Below are 24,055 nucleotides of genomic sequence, written 5' to 3'. Positions count from 1 at the left end.
CAGAGCTTCTATGCCATGTGCTGTAGGACAAGAACAGGGGGCACCCAATTATTCTCACCCCAGCCCACTTGTAGGGTAGAGGATCCGGGTAGCTTTCTGGGAGAGGCACAATGGGGTTATAGGAGTCCTCCATTCTCATGCGGGTTTCTGTTCTTAAAGCAGGAGTGTCCCTCTGAGATACAGGAATCTTTTCTTCTGCAACAAGGAAGGGGCAGTTATATTTTTATAGTTAAAGTAGCAGGGCATGAAAAATAGAGATACAAAAGTCTCTCTAAAGGGTGCGACTTTATTTGCAGTTGAATGTGAATAATTTCTACCACAAGGTTCTCCTAAAATATGTGATATATTTTTATGGTAAATAATTAATGGAAAGCTGACAACTCCATGAGAGCAATATGTTAAACAATAATACACTCAGTTTAGCTGAGAGAATGAGAAAAATCAGAATTTAAGAATAATCAGCAGGGCACTGTGGCACATGCCTGTATTTCTAACTAGTCAGGACACTAAGGTGGAATGATCATCTGAGCCCAGGATTTCAAGGCCAGCCTGTGAAACATTGCTAGTCTCAATTTCTTGAAAAAGAAAATTATGGGTCATGACAAATCTCAAAACCTGATCTTCCAAATAGGAATAAATTTAATTGCATTTGACTGTGGATCAATTTATGACACAAAACAGTGACACCATACCAGCAATGAGTGCAAAAAACAACATCTAGTTGTTACATTAAGAGATACTGACACCCAAACAGAGACATCAGGTAAACAGGTTGTCAAAGGCAACACTGCCGAATGACAGCTTTTCCATGGCTATTGTGTATATATCCAGGGATGCACCTGTGAATAATGACATCATGCCTTTTATAATGTAAGGTAAAGAGACATCACTACCCATCTGACAAAGGATTCATATTGAGAATATGCAAGGATCTCAAACAACTCTACAGGAAAAACATCTAGTAAACCAAATGAAAACCAGGCAAAGTTTTTTTCTCAAAATAAGACTTACAAATGGCAAACAAGCATATGAAAATGTGCTCTACAGCACTGATCATCAGAAAAATGCAAAAGAAAAATACAAGGAAATATCATCTTGTCCCATTTGAAATGGCTTTTATGCAAAAGGCAGGCAATAACAAATGCTGGTGAGGATATGGAGAAAAGGGAATCCTCATACCCTCATAAACTTGGTGGGCATTTAAATTAGTACAACCATTATAAAGAACAGTTTTGAATTTCCTTAAAAAAGTAGTAATAGAGCTATCATACGATCAGCAGTTCTACTGCTGGTGTATGTGCCCCCCAAAAAGAAAATTAATATGTCAAAGGAATATCTGCACTATCATATTTGTTATAGCACTTTTTATAATAACCAAAATTTGAAAGCAACCTAAGTGTCCATCAACAGATGAATGGATAGATAAAATGTGGTGCATATAGGATATGGGTTAATATTATGTCATAAAAATGAGTCAGATTCTGTCATTTGCAACAACATGGATGAAACTGGTGTTCATTATATTGATTGAAATAAGCCCAGAAGAGAAAGACAAACTTCACATGCTCTCATTTATTTCTGGAAGGTAAAAATTGAGACAATCGAACTCGTGGAGAGAGAGAGTAAAAATATGGTAACCAGAGGCTGGGAAGGTCTGTGGTTGATGGGGGTTATTGGGGATGGTAAAAGGGTACAAAAGGTAGTTAGAGATAATGAATAAAACCTAATATTTGATAACACAACAGCATAAGTGTAGTCCTTAATAATTTAATTGTAGATTTTAAAATAACTAAAAATGGGCCGGGCGCAGTGGCTCACACCTGTAATCTCAGCACTTTGGGAGGCTGAGATGGGTGGGTCACGAGGTCAGGAGATCGAGACCATACTGGCTAACACGGTGAAACCCTGTCTCTACTAAAAATACAAAAAAAATTAGCCAGGCGTGGTGGGGGGCACATGTAGTCCCAGCTACATGGGAGGCTGAGGCAGGAGAATGGCGTGAACCTGGGAGGTGGAGCTTGCAGTGAGCTGAGATTGCACCACTGCACTCCAGCCTAGGTGACGGAGCGAGACTCCACCTCAAAAAATAAAATAAAATAAAATAAAATAAAATAACTAAAAATGTACAATTGCAATGTTGGTAACTCAAAGGATTAATGCCTGAAGGGATGTATAACCCCTTTACCAAAATGTGATTATTATGCATTTCATGCTGTATCAAAGTACTTCATGTACCCATAAATATATACATATACTATTTACTGGCAAAAATTGAAGTGTTTATGTATCTAAACTTCTGTATCCATATTACATTAAACATAAGAATACACTGGTGTCTTCACCCTACTGTGATCCACATGGACATTCATAGCCTTCCTTCTTTGCCTGTCCATAATCCCACACTCAAAGGTGAGGAAGCCTCTCTTACCATATGACATTAATTTACTTAGTGCATAATTTCAAGATACACAAATTGTGTTAGAATTGTTTAACTGATGCTTGTTGGAAGTGTGTTTATCAATTAGAATACAGTGCTTATGTGCAGCTTATTTATATTTTCCAAACAGAAAACTGAATTCTTTCCAAAGTTACTTGTGTCAGAGATTTATGACCCACCTTCTTCAGTGAAATTAGTTCAAACAAACATTTTTGTAGTTGTGAGATGTTTTCACACAGCTTTCATTTCCTGCAGTGTTTCATGACCTGCTAGATACTTTTTATGCTGTTATGCATTTAGGTTAACACTTTGTCTCAAAAAATTCTGAGTTTTCACAAATTATTTATGCCAAGTGTTCATCATTGGCTATCACAAAAAATAGTTTCATTGTGATTAAAAAGCATCTGTGTTTCACCTATTCCACACATCCTCTCCCCAAATTCCTGGAAAACCTTAAAGGTTTGCTAGATCTATACTGTTTTATTTGGCAAAGTAGCCTGGCTGTTCTCTGCGCCTCTTCTGCAAAGCATCAAGATTCACCTCCACTGACTACAGCATGAATTGGGCCCAGATGGCTGCAGGACAGAGGCTGGAGTGGATGGTAGCAGTGAGTGATTCAAGTGAAAGTTCTCAGTGATGCCCTGCGTCAGTACAAAGAAGATTCACAATTCCTAGGGACAAGACTTGCCAGCACAGTCTCCCTTAAAATGATCTGCCTGAGAGCCGAGGAGTAGGTAGTGTATTACTGTGAGAGACACAGTGAGGGGACATCTGTGTGAGCCCAGACACAAACCTCCCTGCAGGGAGACAGGAGGGGACCTCATAATAAATGGCGCTCAGGACACCAGGGGGTACTGAAGACACCAGGGGGTGTGCTCAGAACCACCAGGGGGCACTGAGGACACCAGGGGGCTCAGGACAAGCAGGGGACACAGAATCACGATGGTGGATTCTAGACCACCAAGAAACACGCAGGACCACCAAGAGGTTCTCAGGAACCACCAGGGGTAACATGACCACCTAAAGGCACACAAGACTGTCAGGAGGCACTCAGGACACCAGGGGGGAATTCAGGGCCAACGGGGAGTGCTCAGGCCACCATGTAGCTCTCAGCAACCACCAGGGAATTGCTCAGGACACCAGGGTTCTCTTAGGAGGCAGCTTCATATCAGATTCCTGGGGAGGGTGCGGTTTGCTTTTTGATCTTGCCGATTCCTGAGCTGGTCAAGCAAAAGTTTTCTCGGGAGCTCTCACCATTTCTTCCTTGTAATCTATGGTTTCTTTCAACTACAAATCATTAACTTAGAAGAGGGATTTAATTCAACTTTTGATCTTTCATATTTTTAGAACAATACTAGCAATACTAATACTAGCAATACTCAGTATGATTTTGATAATATAATAAGAAATTGCGTATGCCTAATTTAAACTCTTGTTCTATGCATGGGTTTTTGATTTCTGTGCTGTGTCCGTCACACTCTTGTAAATGCCTTTTTAACTGTAACACAGCATATGCATGGTGTTGAGTTTCTTTTCCTTTCATCTGCCTTTGGGGAGTTGAAACACCACCTTAAATGCTCAGTTCCTCTGTCTTCGCTGGGTTCTGATGTTCTGCTCTTCAGACTGTTTCTCTACTTTTCCTTCTTCTGTTTGCCTTTTGTCTTCCTCAGCTTCCTGGCAAGGAAACAGCAAGTCCTTTTATTTTCTCTCTTCCATGTCTGGTGAATCAGTTCACTTCTCTTCATGATCACTGAAGCCAACCATGTTTAGTAGGGTAACAGTTATCCTTAGAACATGCTCATCTACCTGTAGACTCTCCGTCCTCCTCACCCTTTTTTATAGTTCTTCAGACTCACCCCACCCCATCCCGTCTCTTCCCTAAGTACCACAGAGTGGGCTCTGCAGCTCCTGCTGCCTCCTGTGTGCTCATCCCTGGGACTCACTAGTGCTTTGATGATGAAGTCCAAATTCCTAATGTGTTGAAACACTGCCAGATGACAATCTAGCAAGCTGCCATTGTGAGTGCATTCTGGGAATCCTGGGCTGATTTCAGTTCCATATTACTGGATGTTCTCTGGCATCCAGGAGTATTGGCAAATAAACATCTAGAATTTGTATTGAAAATTCATGCAAAAACAATTGTCAAAAACAAACCTAATTTCTTCTTTTTCTTAATTTTATTTATTTATTTATTATTATTATACTTTAAGTTTTAGGGTACATGTGCACAATGTGCAGGTTAGTTACATATGTATACATGTGCCATGCTGGTGCACTGCACCCACCAACTCGTCATCTAGCATTAGGTATTTTATCCTGAGTTTTATAAAAAATACAATGTGAACTTAACCAATAATGTAATACAATTTTAAAGGTGTTTATCTTATTGGTTATTACATGTATTAATAATTGACTGATATTTAAAAATTATGTCAGCCAGGCACAGTGGCTCTTGCCTGTAAATCCAGCAATTTGGGAGGCTGAGGTGGGTGGATCAAGAGGTCAGGAGTTTGAGACCAGTCTGACCAACATGGTGAAACCCTGTCTCTACTAAATATACAAAAAATTAGCCGGGTGTGGTGGCGGGCACCTATAATCTCAGCTACTCAGGAGGCTGAGGCACAAGAATCGCTTGAACCCAGGAGGTGGAGGTTGCAGTGAGCCGAGATTGTGTCACTGCACTCTAGCCTAGACTACAGAGCATGACTCCATCTCAAAATACATATATACACACAAACACACACACATATATATAAAATATATACATATATATAATATGTGTATATATGATATATACATTGTATATATATGTATATGTATTTTATATATACACCAAAAATGTAAATGACAAATAAACCAACACAGAGTTTATGCATAAATACTATGTACATTTAATTAATGTATTTGGCAAGAATGGCATTTACATTTAGTTTTACCAAAACATGCATTTAGATATATTTGTTTATTGGCATTGGGATAGAGAAACAATCACATAGAAAAACATTATTTTGCACTACATCATAGTGTAAAACAAAATAATTTCAATTAAATTCAATAACTATAACAGTAGTAAATAAATTCAGGTTTTGTTTTGGTATTTGATGTGTTCATTTTTGTATTTCCCTATGTACCTGTAAGTACTGGGCATATGTGTGTATGTGTATGTGTATGTGTGATTATGAAGTTCTGAAATATATTATTAACCTGTATAGTTGTGTAAATTGAAGAGCAGAGACTGGGGCTATGCCTGAGTCTGGGGTAGTGGCTGGTCCTGCACACCTCAAAGCCTGTGGAGAAGCCAAGTGCAGTTTTACAAACTCAGCTGTTTTCTCATTCAAGTGGGGTGACCTCCACTGCCTCCGATTTCTGCTAAGATACTGTGGGGGTCTGTGAGATATTAAGATATTTTTCCATTATTGTATTTTTTTCTATTTCACCCTTTATATCTCTTAAAGTTTGCTTAATGCAGATATATTTTTAAAAATGTTAAAAAGATGTAAAATATATTGCTAAGTGATTTTCATGGCACAATCACATATTAAGTAATTATGCTTCTCTAAACTCTTTTGTTGCCACTAAACTCCAGGAGTCTCACATCTGCTCTGGGCCCTGTCCTATCCTAAGGCATCCCACCTTAGAGCTTGCTATGTAGTAGGAGACATTCCAATTGGGTTCTCCTTCTACTGATAAAAAACAGCCCAGTTCTGGTCCTGCATCTCTGGGAGAGGAGTACCAGCCCTGGGATTTCCAGGTGTTTCCACTTGGTAATCAGTACTGAACACAAGATTCAGTATGGGCTTTAAGCTATACTAGATTTTTCTTGTTGCTATTTTAAAAGCTTATTCATGGAGAATTAGAGATAGTGAGTATAAGTGGATGTGAGTGAGAGGAACAGTGGATACATTTGGCAGTTTCTAACCATGCCTATGTATGTGAAGGTGTCAAGTGAGGTTCAGCTGGTGGAGTCTGGAGAAGGCCTGAGACAGCCTGAGGGTTTTGAGAGTCTTCTGTGCAGCCCGTGGATTCAAATTTAGTAGCTACTGAATGAGAAGCTACTGAATTAGCTGAGTCCACCAGGCTTCAGAGAAGGTGCTGGAGTGAGCAGTAAATACGAAGTATGATGAATCAGTTATACCATTCAAAATCTGTGAAGGACAGATTCACCATTTCCAAAGACAATGCCAAGAACTCACTGTACCTGTGAATGAACAGTCAGAGCTGAGAACATGGCCTCGTATTATTGTACATAAGGTACCAAGTGAGGGAACACCAGTGTCAGCCAAAACGCAAAATATCCTGCAGAGAGAAGGAAGGAGCCTGGGCTGCAGAGGGCACTCACTCCCACAGAAGTTAGGGGCATCCCCAGGGCAGGTGCAGTTGAAGGTCAAGGGCCGCTTTCCTTCAGGGTCTGTGGCTTCCTCTCCATCGAACAGTTTCCCTGGGAGCCTCTCTATATTTGTGTTTCTGTGCCTACCACTGAGGTCTCTAGATTAGAAAAGTTTATTTAAAAAATTTCTTATTTGTCCCAAAGTGAGATGTAAGTAAGGCAGGCAGAAAAACACACAGGAGGCTGGGTGAGGCTGTAGACACTGTCAGGCCAGGATGCCAGTCTTACAACTAGTGATGGGGAAATGTGGGAGTTTGGTGGTGCTTCCTAGTTAACCTGTGGAGCAAGTTAAGTCCGGCAAGGCTGTTGATGACTTCCTGATTACAGATGCCCATCAGGAATCTCCGATGAGTCCCAGGAGCAGCCATAGCTTAACATCTCCCCTGTGCACAACCATTTTTTTGGGAGGAGCTCCCAGGGTTAATGCTCTTGGCACAAACCAGGTGATATATGTCAGAGAGCAGAAGCTGGTTTCCTGTGTAAACATCAATTTCTGAATCAGTGTTTTAAATATTTTGAAACACAGCCACTAGATCATATTTCAACTCTTTTATCTCTGTTAAAAAAAAAGTCAAAATGTATTTCATTTTGTGCATGCACCATTTGGGATTCCCAACATAAATGCAAATTAGTTCTTGTTTTTTCACATTCTTACGGCCATTTTTCACCATGAGGATTGTGCATTTTAACCATTCTAATAGGTGAGCAATGGAATCTAATTTTTGTTTCAATGCTCATATCCCTAATGAAAAATTTATATTTAACAATTTTTATATAATGTTGTTGAGTTTACTTGCATATTCATTATAGAAATCAATTCTTTTAATTCTTTACTGAATTAAAAGAAATTATTTAACAAAAATGCTACTTGAAAATATTTTCTCCAAGTCTGTGATTTGTCTTTTTAGTTGCTTATCAGTGTTTATTGCAGAAAAATGTGTGTTTGCAAATTTGGATACATTACCATGAATAATTGTATTCACTCACAGACCATGTTTTTGGCATTATTTCTAAAAACTGGTTATAAAATAAACTAGCAGTGATTTTTTTTCCCATCTCTATAATCTCAGACCACAATCAACACGAGTGTTTAAACCTCACCTACATGATGAGAATACTATCAGCCTAAAATATTTTGAATAACTCTGTAAGGAAGATTCGTCCTTCTTTTCACATTTTATTTACTCATCTATTATAATAGTATTGGCTTAAAGATGCTTATTTTATACTATGAGGAAGATCCATGCTTCATTATTTATGCTTTTGCTCAAATCATCACAGTTTTTTTTATGTGCTTGGAGTTCATTTAATTTGGATCCTGTATCCTTACATGACATCTCCTCCTTTTGTTTTTGAACACTTCCCTATTTTCTGGTATTATAAGAAATCCTAAGCTTATTTTCCGTATTATCTTTTCCATACATAGAATCTGCTGTTTTTCTGAAGATTACTGGCTTCTGGTGTTGAAGAATGGTATTAAAATAGAGAATTGTGAAGTTGGGTGTATATACTGTTAGTGGGATGTAAGTGCCTCAAGGACCTCTCAACTAAATGGCTTAGAAAATGTGCAGGTGTTTATTAACCCACGTTTAGAGATACATCTCGACTATTTACATATCTAGTCTTCCGTACCTGTAACACATTAAAAATGAGAACACATTCTTGTCTCCACCCAATTACAATACCACATGGACATTTCTAGCCTGCCTGCCTTGCCTGTCAATCACCACCCATTGCCAAATGAGGAACTCCATCCCACCATATTCCATAGTATTACTTAGCAGCACAATTTCAGGAAACGTGCATAGCGGAATCAAAATTGTGAAGCTGTACCTCTGCCGGAAACATGTTTATCCACTAGAGTACAGTGATTACGTGCAGTTTACTTACACTTTAGACTTTCAGAATTCCCTCATTTCCAAAGTTATTTAGGTCATAGCCTATTTTGCACTTTCTTCAAAGAAGTATTTTCGTTTAATTTATTGCATGCAGATTATGTCAATCATACAAAATTACTAGCACTTTCACTCTAATCCAGTACTACATGGACATTTCTCACCGTTCTTCCTTGCTGTCTGTAACCTCCCACTCCAAGTGTGAGGAACCCCCTCCCACCACACACCATCTATACCCCGTGTTGTCCAATTCTAGGATTCTTGTAGCGTGGAATCACAATTGGTAAGCTGTGCTCCTTGTGGAACATCATCATCAACTAGAGGACAGTGCTGACATGGTTTATTTTTTAGTCTTATTGGTGTCACTATTTCTAAAGTGATTTAGCAGCCTTTTTCACATACTTTATTCGACAAAGTTGTTTCATGCATTAATAAGGACATCAGATATTTTCTGTACGATCTGCATTCCATCTTGGGGTCCCTAATCTTTTATTTTTTGTAAAGTAAAATCTAGCCTTCATGCTGTATAGTCTGTGGATTTTGACAAATTTATGACATCATATATCTACCATTGCAATATTATACATAATAGTTTCATCATCCTTTAAAGTCTTCTATTTTTTAATCTATTCTCACCTTCTCCCCAAATTGCCGGCAAATATAATTTTTTTCACTTTGTTTAAAGTTTGGCCTTCTCCAGATCAAATAAATTAAATTATATATTGTATAGCTTTATCAGACTATTTTACTTGACAATATGCATTTAAGATTTATTCATGTGTTTTCATGGTTTGCTAGCACTTCTTTATCATTGCTATATAATTCCATTATATGAATTTATCACAGTTTGGTTTTCACCTACAGAAAAACTTTCTGAATGTTTATAGTTTTGGGAAAATGTAAATGAAGCTATTGCAATTACTCATGTGCAGTTTTCTTTGTGGACTTACTTTTGCAGTCAGATAAACACTTAAAAGCATGATTGCTGGATTACATAGACAAAGGATGTGACAATTTGACTAAAATCACCTCCTAGTAGTTGTCTGAAGTGAAGGCACTCAACTGACCTTGTCTCCTTGCTGGGAGGAAGCCCAGTTCACAGTGGTAGGGCCACCTGGGTGGATCCAGGCCCAGCTCCCTCTCAACCATTATGAAGAGCAGCCCGCCCTATGTATGCACATCTAGGAAGCAGATGCCCCAGACGTGCATTGTCCAGGAACGCAGAGAAGCTCAGCACTCTGGCAGGATGGGGCGCACTGAGGAGCAAGTGCTGGGACAGACAAGGAGGGGAGCTTCTGGACAAATCCTGGGTCATCCTTTAGCAGAACCACATCTAACTCTTGGGAGACCTTCCACTCCATCATTTGTAACCCACGCCCTGAAACTTTCCAAGCTCAAACACAGTAAAATTAGGTGATTTAGCTAGAAGTGTGAAAAAACTGAAATGAAAACGACTCCAGTTAATTCTGAGACAATTGGTCATTTTCCATGGAACAACCCAATACTGATAATATCATATTAATGTCAAAAGCAACACACAGTCAGCATGATAGCTGTGTGTCTCATGGTAGAATAAACTTACTTGCTTGAAAGTTACATTCACACTAGTCTGTTCCCACAGAAAATCCCATTTTCTCTTCTCACACAGCCAATTTCAGCATCCTGATCCTCAGAGTTGGAAGCACCGTGTCCTCAGGAGATAGGAGGGGAAATCACTAGCATGGCCCTGGAGTCCTGGTGCCACATCCTTCTTCATCTTTGTGGCAATCAAAGGCAAAGATTTTGTACATAGTTGAAGGACTTTATAAACAAATTATGATTTAATTTACAAGAATACTATCTCAAACACGTACACACACAGGTTTTTAATATTTGTTTGTTGTCTTATCCGTGATAATATTATGTTTAATTTCATGTACGTTCCTCATTCCTTAATCTGTGTATTACATTTCTCTACAATTATAACATATTTTATATACTTTGCAACATAAAGCTCCTGGATGCAGTTGTCTGTGAAGCCAGCAGGGGGAGCAGAAGGAAATGGGTCACGCTCCTGACACTCCCTGCACACCAGCATGTTCCCAAAAGCAGAGTTCCCTGCTCTGCACCTTCTCTGGGGACAGCTTTATTATTGGTGAGTTTTGTGCTTAATTATTGAGAGTTTCTGTTTTAGGTGTGCTGGTCGAGGTGCAGCTAATGAGTCCAGTGCAGGAGTGGAAATAAGCTTCCAAAACATAGTATCACCTGAGAGATAACTGAGTCCATCTCTGTAGTACCACCTGAGTTCCAGCTTCCTGGAGAAAACCTCAGAATCATAAAATTTTTCATGTGTTCTGTGGTGTGGGTCTTCTGTGTCACTGCATGTTCAGCTACATCTGTGGTGCCACTTACACTTAACGAGATGAGATTCCTGCTGCTTGTCAGGTCAATGGTGATCTCTGAAGCTACTTCTGTTTTCCACTTTAATATGTAAAGAGCATGTCAGTCATCCCCTACATTCCTACAACAATGAAAGCCTGGAAAATTGATTATCAATAACTTCTTGGATCTATTTAAGAAATCAAATTGCAGGGAAAACCAAGACCCAAAAACTAGAAAGACATTAAAATAGAGATCATCAGACTGATGGAACAATCTTGTTGTGGCAATAAGATACCAAATTATAAACAAGACCCAAGTCCACATCAAGCAAAAATTAAGTCACTCACTCCTACACTTAAAAAATAGACTATGTTGTAACTGCCACAGGGCTTTTCATTTTCTCTAGCAGCTAAAAAGCACTGGTCCTACGATAAGAATATTAAAATATTTGCAGCTCATGGAACTCAAGACACTGGGTAACTGTGCCCGTTCCACAGCCATAAAAAGAGCTTTGAATGGAGAAGGACTGATTTCAGTAACTTTCTCCTGAGAAGAGACCACTCACCATGGACTTGTCCTTGCCAAATTATGGAGGCTGTGCACTGTGTGTCCTTCTGCCTCTGCACAAAGCCCTTTTGATGTACACGGCCCAACTGTAATTTGTTTAGTTCTTAAGTCCTCGCCCCAAAGCAAACATGAAATGCATGTAACATCTGTGTTTGCTTATTATGCATGACAGCCTGCCCACCATGTGAATATTCATAGCTCCTTCTATAGCCCGCTGAGTATGTGCACTTGGCCAATCCATTTGCATGAACTCATTTCTCACCTTTCCCTCTCTTGAAGTGCCTGCTCACTGTCTCTGTGGGAGGCTTTGCTTTCCGGCCTGTTAAGATGGCCATCCTGCAGCTTCACCCATTTATCAGAAATAAAGTTTCTTTTCTAAATTTATAAATTGGGTGATTCTTCCATTGAAAGCACAAGCTGGTGGAAACAGTTACATGATAATTCCATAAATGCCTAGCAGACAAGTGTGGATAGGGTAGGGTAAGAACTCCTGGGGGCCACGCACCCCACACTTTTATGAAATTTCCCTCCAGAAACTTCTGGGTTCTCAAGATGAGAATCCAAACAGATTCCCTCATGGCTCTGATATCAGGAGAACTGTTCTCTGATAAATATGCCCAGAACTTTGTCCGGACAGACCCTACATAGAAAAAATACTTTTCAAGATCTTTATTCCATGTGAGGAGAACGAATTCTTTTCCATCCAAGACAGCTTCATCTTAGCCTTCCTGTGTCACAAAAAGGGGTATAATTAATAAAACAACTGGGGTCAGATTCAAGAGAGCAATCTGTTGATGCTGCAGCCATGAAGGGGATTAGAGTATGGAGGAAAATCAGCTGTATCACTGGAGACTCCTTGTAAAGGGCACAGCCTAGAGAAAGCACAGCAAGAAATCATTGGAATTCAATGTCAAGAACATTTACTGCTTCCCTGCCCACCACATCACCTCCTCACCACTAGGATTAATATGGATTAAAGAGAGAAGTGTGGCAAGGCACAGACTCCGTCTAACGACTAGAATGTAGGGAAACCAAAGGTGGTAGGAGAGAACAAATCAAGGACAGGGAAGTGAGACCAACAGGCCTCTGAGACCAACAGCTTCAGAACCAAGATCACAGCCCCTCCCTAAATGGCCTTAGATTTACCTCTCATGGGGCATCTGCAGGGTTCTCAGGTGAGAACTGGCAAAAACAATATGAAGGCACTTTCCAAATCACCAGTAGTACTGAGCTTGCTTTAGCTCTGGAAAAAACAAAACAACAACAAACATAAGCAGGACTAAGGTCAGTGTTGGAAGCACCTTTCTTTGGGAAGACACTATGAAGGAGGGCAAATTCGAGGCCCATTACTGTGCAAATATGCCACTGTGTGTTTTGGGGGGCTTTGAGACATAGGGTCTGTGTGTAAAGTTAGAATCTGATGGGATATTCAAACACAGAATCCTAAAAAAGAGGCTGCCCCAAAGTCCCCATCAGTTCCTGGACTCGACATGTGTCTGGACCGTATCAGTGCACCTGGAGCTCCAGGGAAGGGGCTCCCTCGTGGCCTTAGTGATCCCTTGCTTGCTGTGCTGAGGTCTCCCTGTAGGATAAGGCCTACTCCTACTGTAAGGCCTATTTCCTACTGTAAGAGATGGTGGGAGAAGCAATTGCTGCCACTAAAACTTCATTCTGAGCCAAGGCATAGCCACTTCATACTGGGCTTGATATGCTGGGTGGAGAATTCTCTGTGAGCCCAGACAGGAACTTCTATGCAGGGCAGGAGCTGAGCTTCAGGGGGGTCCTCAGGGCGCACCCAGCACAGGATTCAGCCCTGGAGCAGGTGCACAGGAGGACAGGGTGGGGTTTTCTCTCAGGAATTGAATGTTTCTTATTTCAAAGCAATAATGACCTAAAATTTAAATAAGAATTTAGCAAGTACTGATGTACCGTTAAGTATTTTATTGTATATGGAGCCGATACCTAACCCAATAATTTAATGCAAACCATATTTAAATGGAGAAATGTCTAGTCTTTTCAAATGTATTTATAGTTAGGAATTGAGTGGTGGTTTTATTAATTCAATGGGTGTTACTACTGGGAGATACACTCATCCTAGAAGTTAAGGTGCAGAGGTGAAGGCCCAGGAAATGTTCAGGTTGTCAGAGTTCCATAGGAACAAGGAATCACATTGAGGACAATGTCCTGGGAGATTGTGGTTTTCTGTGAGACGAGTTCTGTCTTCATGGACTTCTGAGCATGTCAGAGGACAAATATCATTAAACAAAGTACAGGGCATGGAGCTCAGCATCCCACTGTGGCGTGGTCCGTGTGTCACCTAACTTCTTCCTCAGGTTGGGGGGCTTGAGCTACGAAATAGGTAGCTGCCTCATGAATATGCAAATGCACTGGTGTTTACCGAGGTAAATACAGATCTGTCCTTGCCCAGAGAGCATCACACAACAACCACATCTCTCCCCTGTAGAAGTCCCCAGAGCACAGCACATCACCATGGACTGGACCTGGAGGATCCTCCTCTTGGTGGCAGCAGCTACAGGTAAGAGAATTCTAAGTTCCATGGCTGATGACGGGACTGGGTCCAGTTAAGTGGGGTCTCATTCACTCCTCTGTCCTCTCCACAGGTGCCCAGTCCCAGGTCCAGCAAGTGCAGTCTGGGGCTGAGGTGAGGAAACCTGGGGCCTTAGTGAAGGTCTACCCAAGGCTTCCAGCTACACCTTCACCTTCCACTACATGCACTGGGTGCCACAGGCCCCTGGAAAAGGGCTTGAGTGGATGGGACATGTTGATCCTGAAGATGGTGAAACAATATATGCACAGAAGTTCCAGGGCAGAGTCACCATGACCGCAGGCATGTCTACAGACACAGCCTATGTGGAGCTGAGCAGCGTGAGATCTGAGGACACGGCCATATATTACAGTGCAAGACACACAGTGTGAAAATCCACATACTGAGAGTGTGAGAAACCTCGAGGAAGGAGGCAGCTGTGCTGGGGATGAGAAGATAACAGGATTTATGAGGTTTAAACGTGTTTAGAAAATGGGTTAAGTACACACAATAATAATGGGAGGCTTTAACACCCCACTGTCAACATTAGACAGATCAACGAGACAGAAAGTTAACAAGGATATCCAGGAATTGAACTCAGCTCTGCACCAAGCGGACCTAATAGACATCTACAGAACTCTCCACCCCAAATCAACAGAATATACATTCTTCTCAGCACCACATCACACTTATTCCAAAATTGACCACATAGTTGGAAGTAAAGGACTCCTCAGCAAATGTAAAAGAACAGAAATTATAACCAACTCTCTCTCAGACCACAGTGCAATCTAACTAGAACTCAGGATTAAGAAACTCACTCAAAACAGCACAAATACATGGAAACTGAACAACCTGCTCCTGAATGACTACTGGGTAAATAACGAAATGAAGACAAAAATATAGATGTTCTTTGAAAACAATGAGAACAAAGACACAAAATACCAGAATCTCTGGGACGCATTCAAAGCAGTGTGTAGAGGAAAATTTATAGCACAAAATGCCCACAAGACAAAGCAGGAAAGATCTAAAATTGACACCCCAACATCACAATTAAAAGAACTAGAGAAGCAAGAGCAAACACATTCAAAAGCTAGCAGAAGGCAAGAAATAACTAAGATCAGAGAAGAACTGAAGGAGATAGAGACACAAAAAACCCTTCAAAAAAAATCAATGAATCCAGGAGTTGGTTTTATGAAAAGATCAGCAAAATCGATAGACTGCTAGCAAGACTAATAAAGAAGAAAAGAGACAAGAATCAAATATGTGCAGTAAATAATAATAAAGGGGATATCACCACCGACCCCACAGAAATACAAACTACCATCAGAGAATACTATAAACACCTCTATGCAAATAAACTAGAAAATCTAGAAGAAATGGATAAATTCCTGGACACATACACCCTCCCAAGACTAAACCAGAAAGAACTTTAATCCCTGAATAGATCAATAACAGGCTATGAAATTGAGGCAATAATAGCCTACCAACCAAAAAAAGTCCAGGGGATTTACAGCTGAATTCTACCAGAGATACAAGGAGGAGTTGGTACCATTCCTTCTGAAACTATTCCAATCAATAGAAAAAGAGGGAATCCTCCCTAATTCATTTTATGAGGCCAACATCATCCTGATACCAAAGCCTGGCAGAGACACAACAAAAAAAGAGAATTTTAGACCAATGTCCCTGATGAATATTGATGCGAAAATCCTCAATAAAATACTGGCAAACCGAATCCAGCAGCACATCAGAAAGCTTATCCACCATGATCAAGTGGGCTTCATCCCTGGGATGCAAGGCTGGTTCAATATATGCAAATCAATAAACGTAATCCAGCATATAAACAGTACCAAAGACTAAAACCACATGATTATCTCAATAGATGCAGAAAAGGCCTTTGACAAAATTCAACAGCCCTTCATGCTAAAAACTGTCAATAAATTAGGTAATGATGGGACGTATCTCAAAATAATAAGAGCTATTTATGACAAACCCACAGCCAATATCATACTGAATGGGCAAAAACTGGAAGCATTCCCTTTGAAAACTGGCACAAGACAGGGATGCCCTCTCTCACCACTCCTATTCAACATAGTGTTGGAAGTTCTGGCCAGGACAATCAGGCAGGAGAAAGAAATAAAGGGTATTCAACTAAGAAAAGAGGAAGTCAAATTGTCCGTTTGCAGATGACATGATTGTATATTTAGAAAACCCCATCATCTCAGCCCAAAATCTCCTTAAGCTGATAAGCAACTTCAGCAAAGTCTCAGGATACAAAATCAATGTGCAAAAATCACAAGCATTCTTATACACCAATAACAAACAGAGAGCCAAATCATGAGTGAACTCCCATTCACAATTGCTTCAAAGAGAATAAAATACCTAGGTTTCCAACTTACAAGGGATGTGAAGGACCTCTTCAAGAAGAACTACAAACCACTGCTCAATGAAATAAAAGAGGATACAAACAAATGGAAGAACATTCCATGCTCATGGATAGGAAGAATCAATATTGTGAAAATGGCCATACTGCCCAAGGTAATTTATAGATTCAATGCCATCCCCATCAAGCTAACAATGACTTTCTCCACAGAATTGGAAAAAACTAAAGTGCATATGGAACCAAAAAAGAGCCCACATTGCCAAGACAATCCTAAGCCAAAAGAACAAAGCTGGAGGCATCACGCTACCTGACTTCAAACTATACTACAAGGCTGCAGTAACCAAAACAGCACGGTACTGGTACCAAAACAGAGATATAGACCAATGGAACAGAACACAGCCCTCAGAAATAATACCACACATCTACAACCACCTGATCTTTGACAAACCTGACAAAAAGAAGAAATGGGGAAAGGATTCCTTATTTAATAAATGGTGCTGGGAAAACTGTCTAGCCATATGTAGAAAGCTGAAACTGGATCCCTTCCTTACACCTTATACAAACATGAATTCAAGATGGATTAAAGACTTAAATATTAGACCTAAAACCATAAAAACCCTAGAAGAAAACCTAGGCAATACCATTCAGGACATAGGCATGGGCAAGGACTTCATGTCTAGAACACCAAAAGCAATGGCAACAAAAGCCAAAATTGACAAACGGGATCTAATTAAACTAAAGGGGTTCTGCACAGCAAAAGAAACTACCATCAGAGTGAACAGGCAACCTACAGAATGGGAGAAAAGTTTTGCAATCTACCCATTTGACAAAGGGCTAATATCCAGAATCTACAAAGAACTCAAATTTACAAGAAAAAAACAACCCCATCAAAAATTGGCCAAAGGATATGAAGAGACACTTCTCAAAAGAAGACATTTATGCAGCCAAAAGACACATGAAAAAATGCTCATCATCACTGGCCATCAGAGAAATGCAAATCAAAACTACAATGAGATACCATCTCACACAAGTTAGAATGGTGATCATTAAAAAGTCAGGAAACAACAGGTGCTGGAGAGGATGTGGAGAAACAGGAAGGCTTTTACACTGTTGGTGGGGCTGTAAACTAGTTCAACCATTGTGGAAGACTGTGTGGCGATTCCTCAAGGATCTAGAACTAGAAATACCATTTGACCCAGCCATCCCATTACTGGGTATATACCCAAAGGATTATAAATCATGCTGCTATAAAGGCACATGCAAATGTATGTTTATTGCGGTACTATTCACAATAGCAAAGACTTGGAACCAACCCAAATGTCCATCAATGATAGACTGGATTAAGAAAATGTGGCACATATACACCATGGAATACTATGCAGCCACAAAAAAGGATGAGTTCACGTCCTTTGTAGGGACATGAATGAAGCTGGAAACCATCATTCTCAGCAAACTATCACAAGAACAAAAAACCAAACACTGCGTGTTCTCACTCATAGGTGGGAATTGAACAATGAAAAAACTTGGACACAGGAAGGGGAACATCACACACTGGGGCCTGTTGTGGGGTTGGGGGAGGGGGAGGGAAAGCATTAGGAGATATACCTAACATAAATGACGAGTTAATGGGTGCAGCACACCAACATGGCACATGTATACATATGTAACAAACCTGCACATTATGGACATGTACCTTAGAACTTAAAGTATAATTAAAAAATGCAAATATTGTTAAGGTGCTTAATACGAAAACAAATTACGATAAATGTGTTCACTGTAATACTACCTATCATTTATAATAAATAAATGCCTGATACACACAAGAAAAAGCTAAAATATCTAAGTATTTGTGTTGAGTAAAATAAGCTAAACCAGTAAGTATACTATGTTATTTCATTGTTATAAATCCTGATAAATAAAAATGCATCTAACATAAAATAATGAAGATCAGTAGTTGCCCGGGAAACTGGTAGAAGAAGGGAAGGGGAAAGGAGGAGGAATATAGCTGAACAAGAGGAAATGTTGAGAAGAATTCCCATGTACACTTTCTTGATAATGATGACAGTTCTATCATGTTTATTAATTGTACATTTTAAATATGTGAAATGCATTATCTTTCAAATAAGCCTCATAAATTGTATTACAAGCAAACAAATGGAACCTTAGACAAGGAGTAATAGAAAGACAGAACAAATATGTTAAATGTCAGAAGTACCTGAAAATTAATGTGCCTGGACCCTAGTTTTCCCCGTATTTTCAGATGAGTGCTGGAGTGCAGCAAAACCACACATGCTCTTACTACGGAAAGTGGGCTCTGAAAAAAAACACTAGACACATCCAGCTTTGTACTGGAGTTGGCTTAGGGAGCAGTCGGAGCCGGTGATGAGAAGCACAGGGCTAGATACCAGGGTTCACTCATCCTAGACATGAGCTCTTAGATACACACAGAGCCCCCTCCGTGTGTGGATTTACTTCCACATCTGTAAATGAAAAAATATTGACTCCTACAGAACATAATTTACACAATTATTTTAAAATGAAATAGGGTGATAAAGGCAAAATGTTTATCACAGCACAATTTCATTAATAAGACAGCGTATTTTCCAAATACCATAATTACCAGCCAACTTCTGCGGGTAACAGCTTCTTATCTGGATACAGCCTACTTCTCAAGTGTCCCACCCTAGCACTTGCTATATAGTTGGAGATACGAAATTAGTGCCCTCCCTCTACTGATGAAAACCAACCCAAACCCGACCCTGCAGCTCTGAGAGAGGAGCCTTAACCCCGGGACTCCAAGGCATTTCCACTTGGTGATCAGCACCGAACACAGAGGACTCACCATGGAGTTCGGGCTGAGCTGAGTTTTCCTTGTTGCTATTTTAGAAGGTGATTCATGGAAAACTAGGGAGTTAGAGTGTGAGTGGATATAAGTGAGAGAAACAGTGAATATGTGTGGCAATTTCTAACCAGGATGTCTCTTTATTTGCAAGTGTCCAGTTTGAGGTGCAACTGGTCGAGTCTGGGGGAGGCTTGGTACAGCCTGGGGGCGTTCCTGAGACTCTCCTGTGAGGCCACTGGATTCACCTTTAGTAGCTATACCATGGATTGGGTCCGCCAGGCTCCAGGGAAGGGGCTGGAGTGGGTCTCAGTTATTAGCAGTGGTGGTACCATATACTACGCAGATTCTGTGAAGGGCCGATTCACCACCTCCAGACACAATGCAAAAAACTCACTGTATCTGCAAACGAACAGCCTCAGAGCCGAGGACACGGCTTTGTATTACCGTAGCTGCGGTCTCCGATGTCACCACCAACCGCAGCGAGGCAAGCCGCCGTGGCTCCAGCCTCCAGCATGCGGTGGTGCCTCTTCCTTCTGCTTGTCTTCCAGCCCAGCAGGAGAAGCTCCCACTGCTAGCCTCCCTCCTACAGCTCCATCACCACCACCACCAACAGGGAGGCAGTGCCCCAAGTGCCAGACTCCAGTGGGCAAAAAGAGACGGACCCTTCTAATTCTCTAAGCCGAGCACGTAGCAGCCCCGCACACCAATACAGAAAAGCCAAAAATGACGTGTGGCTCCCTCCGCATGCTTTATATACTGAGGTTACGGATCCTGGACTACATGTTCTGATTGGATGAGAGAAAAACCTCTAGGCCTACTCTGATTGGACTTTATTTTCATGCTGTGATTGGTTATCTTAAGACTTGCTCTCATCCAATCAGAACATGATAATAAAGTCCAATCCGAGTAAGCCTGGAGTTTTTTTCTCATCCAATCAGAACATGCAGTCCAGGAACCATCATGCGCAAAACCTCAGTATATATGTAATGCCGAAGAGAGGTTAGGGTTTCTTTAGGTTTCCGTACTTTCCTGTTGAGCACTGCGGCGCAACTCGCCTTGCTGCGGTTGGTGGTGGCGATGGAGATTGCAGCGCGGCTGAAGGGGTAGGAGAATGAAAATAGTTTTGGGATAGATAGAGGTGGGTAGAGAGTGTGGTGTTAGTGCAAAGGGAAAAAAGGATAGCGAGGAGGAGAAGGCGTTGCAAAAAGACGATGGGGACAAGATGGTGGGGAAAAAAGTTTTTGGGTAGATGGAGGTGGAAAAACGGTGCAGAGCGGGAGGGAGGGATGGTTTTGCAGAAAGACGGTGGGTAGAAAGTTTATGGGTGGATGAAGGGGGAAAAGAGGGTGGCAATTGGGAAGAGGAAAGAGAGTGGTGAGGGGGGACAACGGGCGAGCAGTAGGGAGAGAAAGTTTTGTGAAAAGAGGGTGGGGAGAAAAGTTTTTGGGTAGATAGAGGAGCAAAAGAAGATAGCAAGTGGGGGAAGGAAAAAGAGGGTAACCAGCGGGAGGAAGACAAGGTTTTGCGAAAAGACAGTGGCAGAAAAGAAAGATGGTGGAGAAAGAAAAGATGGTAGGTAAAAAGTGAGTAGATGGAGGGGGGAAAGAGGGTGAAGAGGAGGAGAAAAGAGGGTGGCGAGAAGGGAGCAGGGCAAGAAGGTTGGGAAAAAGATGGGAAAATAGTTTGGGGTAGATGGAGGGCTAAAAAGAGGGTGGCAAGCAGGATAGGGGAGAGAAGAGGACGAGTGGGAAGGGGGGGAAGACTGAAAAGATGGGGAAATTTTGGGGGGTAGATGGAGGGGGAAAAGGGAGGTGAGCAGGAGTGGGGAGAAGGCCTTGAGAAAAGATGGTGGGGAAATGTTCTTGGGTAGATGGAGAAGGGAAAGAGAGTGGCAAGGAGGAGCGGGGGGAAAGAAGATGAGGAAAAGAGTTTTTGGGTAGATGAAGGGGGAAAAGAGGATGGTGAGCAGCAGGAGTAGGGAAAAGGTTTTGGGAAAAGATGGGGGACAATGTTTTTGCGTAGCTGAAGGAGCAAAAGGGCGTGATGACATCGGGAGGGGGAAAAAGGGTGGCCAGAGAGAAGGGGAAAATACGGTGGGAAAAAATGGGAGAAAGTGTTTGGGTAGATGGATGGGGAAAAGCGTGGTGAGCGGGAGCGTAGAGAAGGCTTTGCAAAATGATGGTGGGGAGAAAACGGTGAGAAAGTTTGGGGATAGGTAGAGGAAGAGAAATGGTGGTGAGAGGGAGAGGGCCAAATGCGGTCGGGAAAAGAAGGTGGGGAAATGGTGGGGGACAAAGGTTTTGGGTAGATTTTTAAAAATAAGATTATTTGTATTTTCACTTTTGAGTAGTTTGAGTTCTTTAGATATTTTGTGTATTAACCTCTTGCCTGATGCATAGTTTGCAAATACTTTCTTCCATTCTCTGGGTTCTGTCTTCATTATACTGATTGCTAACTCTGTGTCAGAAAAGGTTTTAAGTTTAATGTAATTACATCTTTGCTTTTGTTACTTGTGCTTTTGATGTCTATTTGAAAATTCCTTGTCCTAACCAATTTCATGAAGCGTTTATCCTGTTTTCTTCTCTGGTAGTTTAATAGTTTCAGGTCCTGCATTTAAATCTTTATATTGAGTAGATTTTTGCATACGGTAAGGGTAATGGCCTAGATGTATTCTTGGACATGTGGGTGTTGGGTTTTCCTAGTACAGTTTATTGAAGAGATTGTCCTTCCCGAATGTGTGTTCTTGGGGACTTTGTTAAAAAAGAATTGACCGTAAACGCTTGAATTTATTTCTGATTTCTCTATTCTGTTTCACTTGTCTGTCATTCGTTCACCTCTCTCTCTCCCACCCCTTTTATTGATAGTACCATACTGTTTTGATAGTACCATGCTTACTATAGATTTGCAGTGTATTTTGAAATCAGGTAGTGTGATGCCTCCCGCTTTTCTTTCTATTCCAGATTCTTTTGTCTATCTGAGGTATTTTGAACTTCCATGTGAATTTTAAGATTCTTCTTCAATTTCAATGAAGAATGTCTTGTAATCGAACACGGATTGCATTGATTCTGTAGATCACATTGGGTGATATATATATTTTAACATTTTTCTAGTGCATGGACATGGGATATCTTTCCATTTACTTGTGTCTGCTTTAATATCTTTCATCTATGTTTTATGAAGTTTTCATTTTGGGATCTCTTGCCTTTTTGGTTGTTTATTCCTAGATACCATTTTTTTTGTAATGAAATAGCTTTCTTGATTTCTTTCTTAGGTATTTCACTATTGGTGCATTGGTGTACTATTCATTTTTATATTTTGATATTGTATTTTGGAACTTGATTAAATTTATTATTTCTAGTAGGTTTTTTGTGGAATCTTTAGGGTTCTTTCTATATATGTTCATGTCACCTGGAAACAGACAATTTGACTCCTTTTTTTCCAATTTGGATGCCTTTTATTGCATTCTCCTGTCTAATTTTTCTAGCTAGGACTCCCAGTACTATGATGAATAAAAGTGGTGTAAAAGTAGCCACACTTGTTCCAGATCTTAGAGGAAGAGCTTTTAACTTTTCCTTATTATGTTAGCTGTGGGTTTGTCATATATGGCCTTTATTGCGCTGAGATATGTTCCTTCTGTACTCATGTTGTTGAGTTTTTATCATGAAGGAATGTTGATTTTTATTTTTTTCAGCGTCTACTGAAATGACTATAGGGTTTTTGTTCTTGATTGCTGAATGTGATGTCGCATATTTATTTGTGTTTATTGAATCATCCTCATATTCCTGGGATGAAATCCACTTGGTCATGGCAGATCATCTTTTTATTGTGTTGTCAAATGCAGTTTTGAAGTATTTTGTTGAGGATTTCTTGCACCTCTGTTCATCAGGGAAAGCCTGTGGTTTTCTTTCTGTGTTGTGTTCTGGTCTGGTTTTTGTGCCAAGGTCATGCTGTCCTCATAGAACAAATTTGGAAGCCTTTCTTTCTCTTCATTTTATGGGGAATATTTTGAGTAAAATCGATATTAACTCTTTTAAAAATGTTTGGTAATTCAGCAGGAAAACCATGATTCTTGTGTTTTTCTCTGCCAGGAGACTTTATATGACTGCTTTAATTGCATTACTCATTATTGGTCTGTTCATTTTTTTAATCATTCTATCTTGGGAATTTGTTATGTGTCTAGAAATTTATTCACTTCTAGATTTTTCAATTTGTATATAGATGTTTTTAGTAACCTCTTAAAATGCTTCGTATTTCAGGGTTATCGATTGTAAGTCTTATGATTTCGTTTTCTTTTTCTTATCCTTCATCTAGTTAAAGCTTGTCAATTTTGATTTTTTTTCTAAAACACCCCAGCTCTTTGTTTCATTGACTTTTTGTATTGTTTGTTTTTTAAAGTTTCTTCTCTAATTTTTATGATATTTTTTTCTGCTAATTCTAGCATTTGATTGTTCTTGTTTTTCTCATTACTGGAGGTGTACTGTCAGGCTGTTTGAGATCTTCCTACTTTCCTGATGTAGGCATTTATAGCTATGCACTTTTCCTCTTAGAATTGCCTTTGCTGCATCCCACAGGATTTGTTATGTTTCTATTCTTGTTTCAATAAATATTTAATTTTCTTTGTTTTTCATTTCGTTTATCGGT

The 24,055-nt window shown here is 40.3% G+C and overlaps 2 long non-coding RNA genes across 4 annotated transcripts in view; one reads left to right on the top strand and one right to left on the bottom strand.

Moving 5' to 3' along the window:
• Nucleotides 1-5,304: 5,304 nt before the first annotated feature.
• LOC105373487 (uncharacterized) lies at nucleotides 5,305-20,139 on the bottom strand. Of its 3 annotated transcripts, none has more exons than XR_923074.3 (3): nucleotides 19,859-20,139; nucleotides 12,794-12,890; nucleotides 5,305-12,519 (listed from the first exon to the last, which is right to left on the bottom strand). It is a non-coding gene; the product is annotated as an uncharacterized LOC105373487 (long non-coding RNA). The 3 variants fall into 3 exon arrangements; XR_923075.3 differs by having other exon boundaries at nucleotides 12,302-12,519; nucleotides 19,809-20,139; XR_007087135.1 differs by having other exon boundaries at nucleotides 12,302-12,519; nucleotides 12,794-20,139.
• A 249-nt stretch (nucleotides 20,140-20,388) lies between these two features.
• LOC442028 (uncharacterized) overlaps nucleotides 20,389-24,055 on the top strand; it is a 78,658-nt gene continuing 74,991 nt past the window's right edge. The window contains exon 1 of the long non-coding RNA NR_037597.1: nucleotides 20,389-20,517. This is a non-coding gene — a long non-coding RNA (uncharacterized LOC442028). The remainder of the gene's footprint in view (nucleotides 20,518-24,055) is intronic.

The sequence above is a fragment of the Homo sapiens genome, chromosome 2 (genome assembly GCF_000001405.40).
Source record: "Homo sapiens chromosome 2, GRCh38.p14 Primary Assembly".
Taxonomy (NCBI): Eukaryota; Metazoa; Chordata; class Mammalia; order Primates; family Hominidae; genus Homo; species Homo sapiens.
Note: the sequence above shows the minus strand (reverse complement) of the source record. Positions and strands in the feature narration are given on the sequence as shown.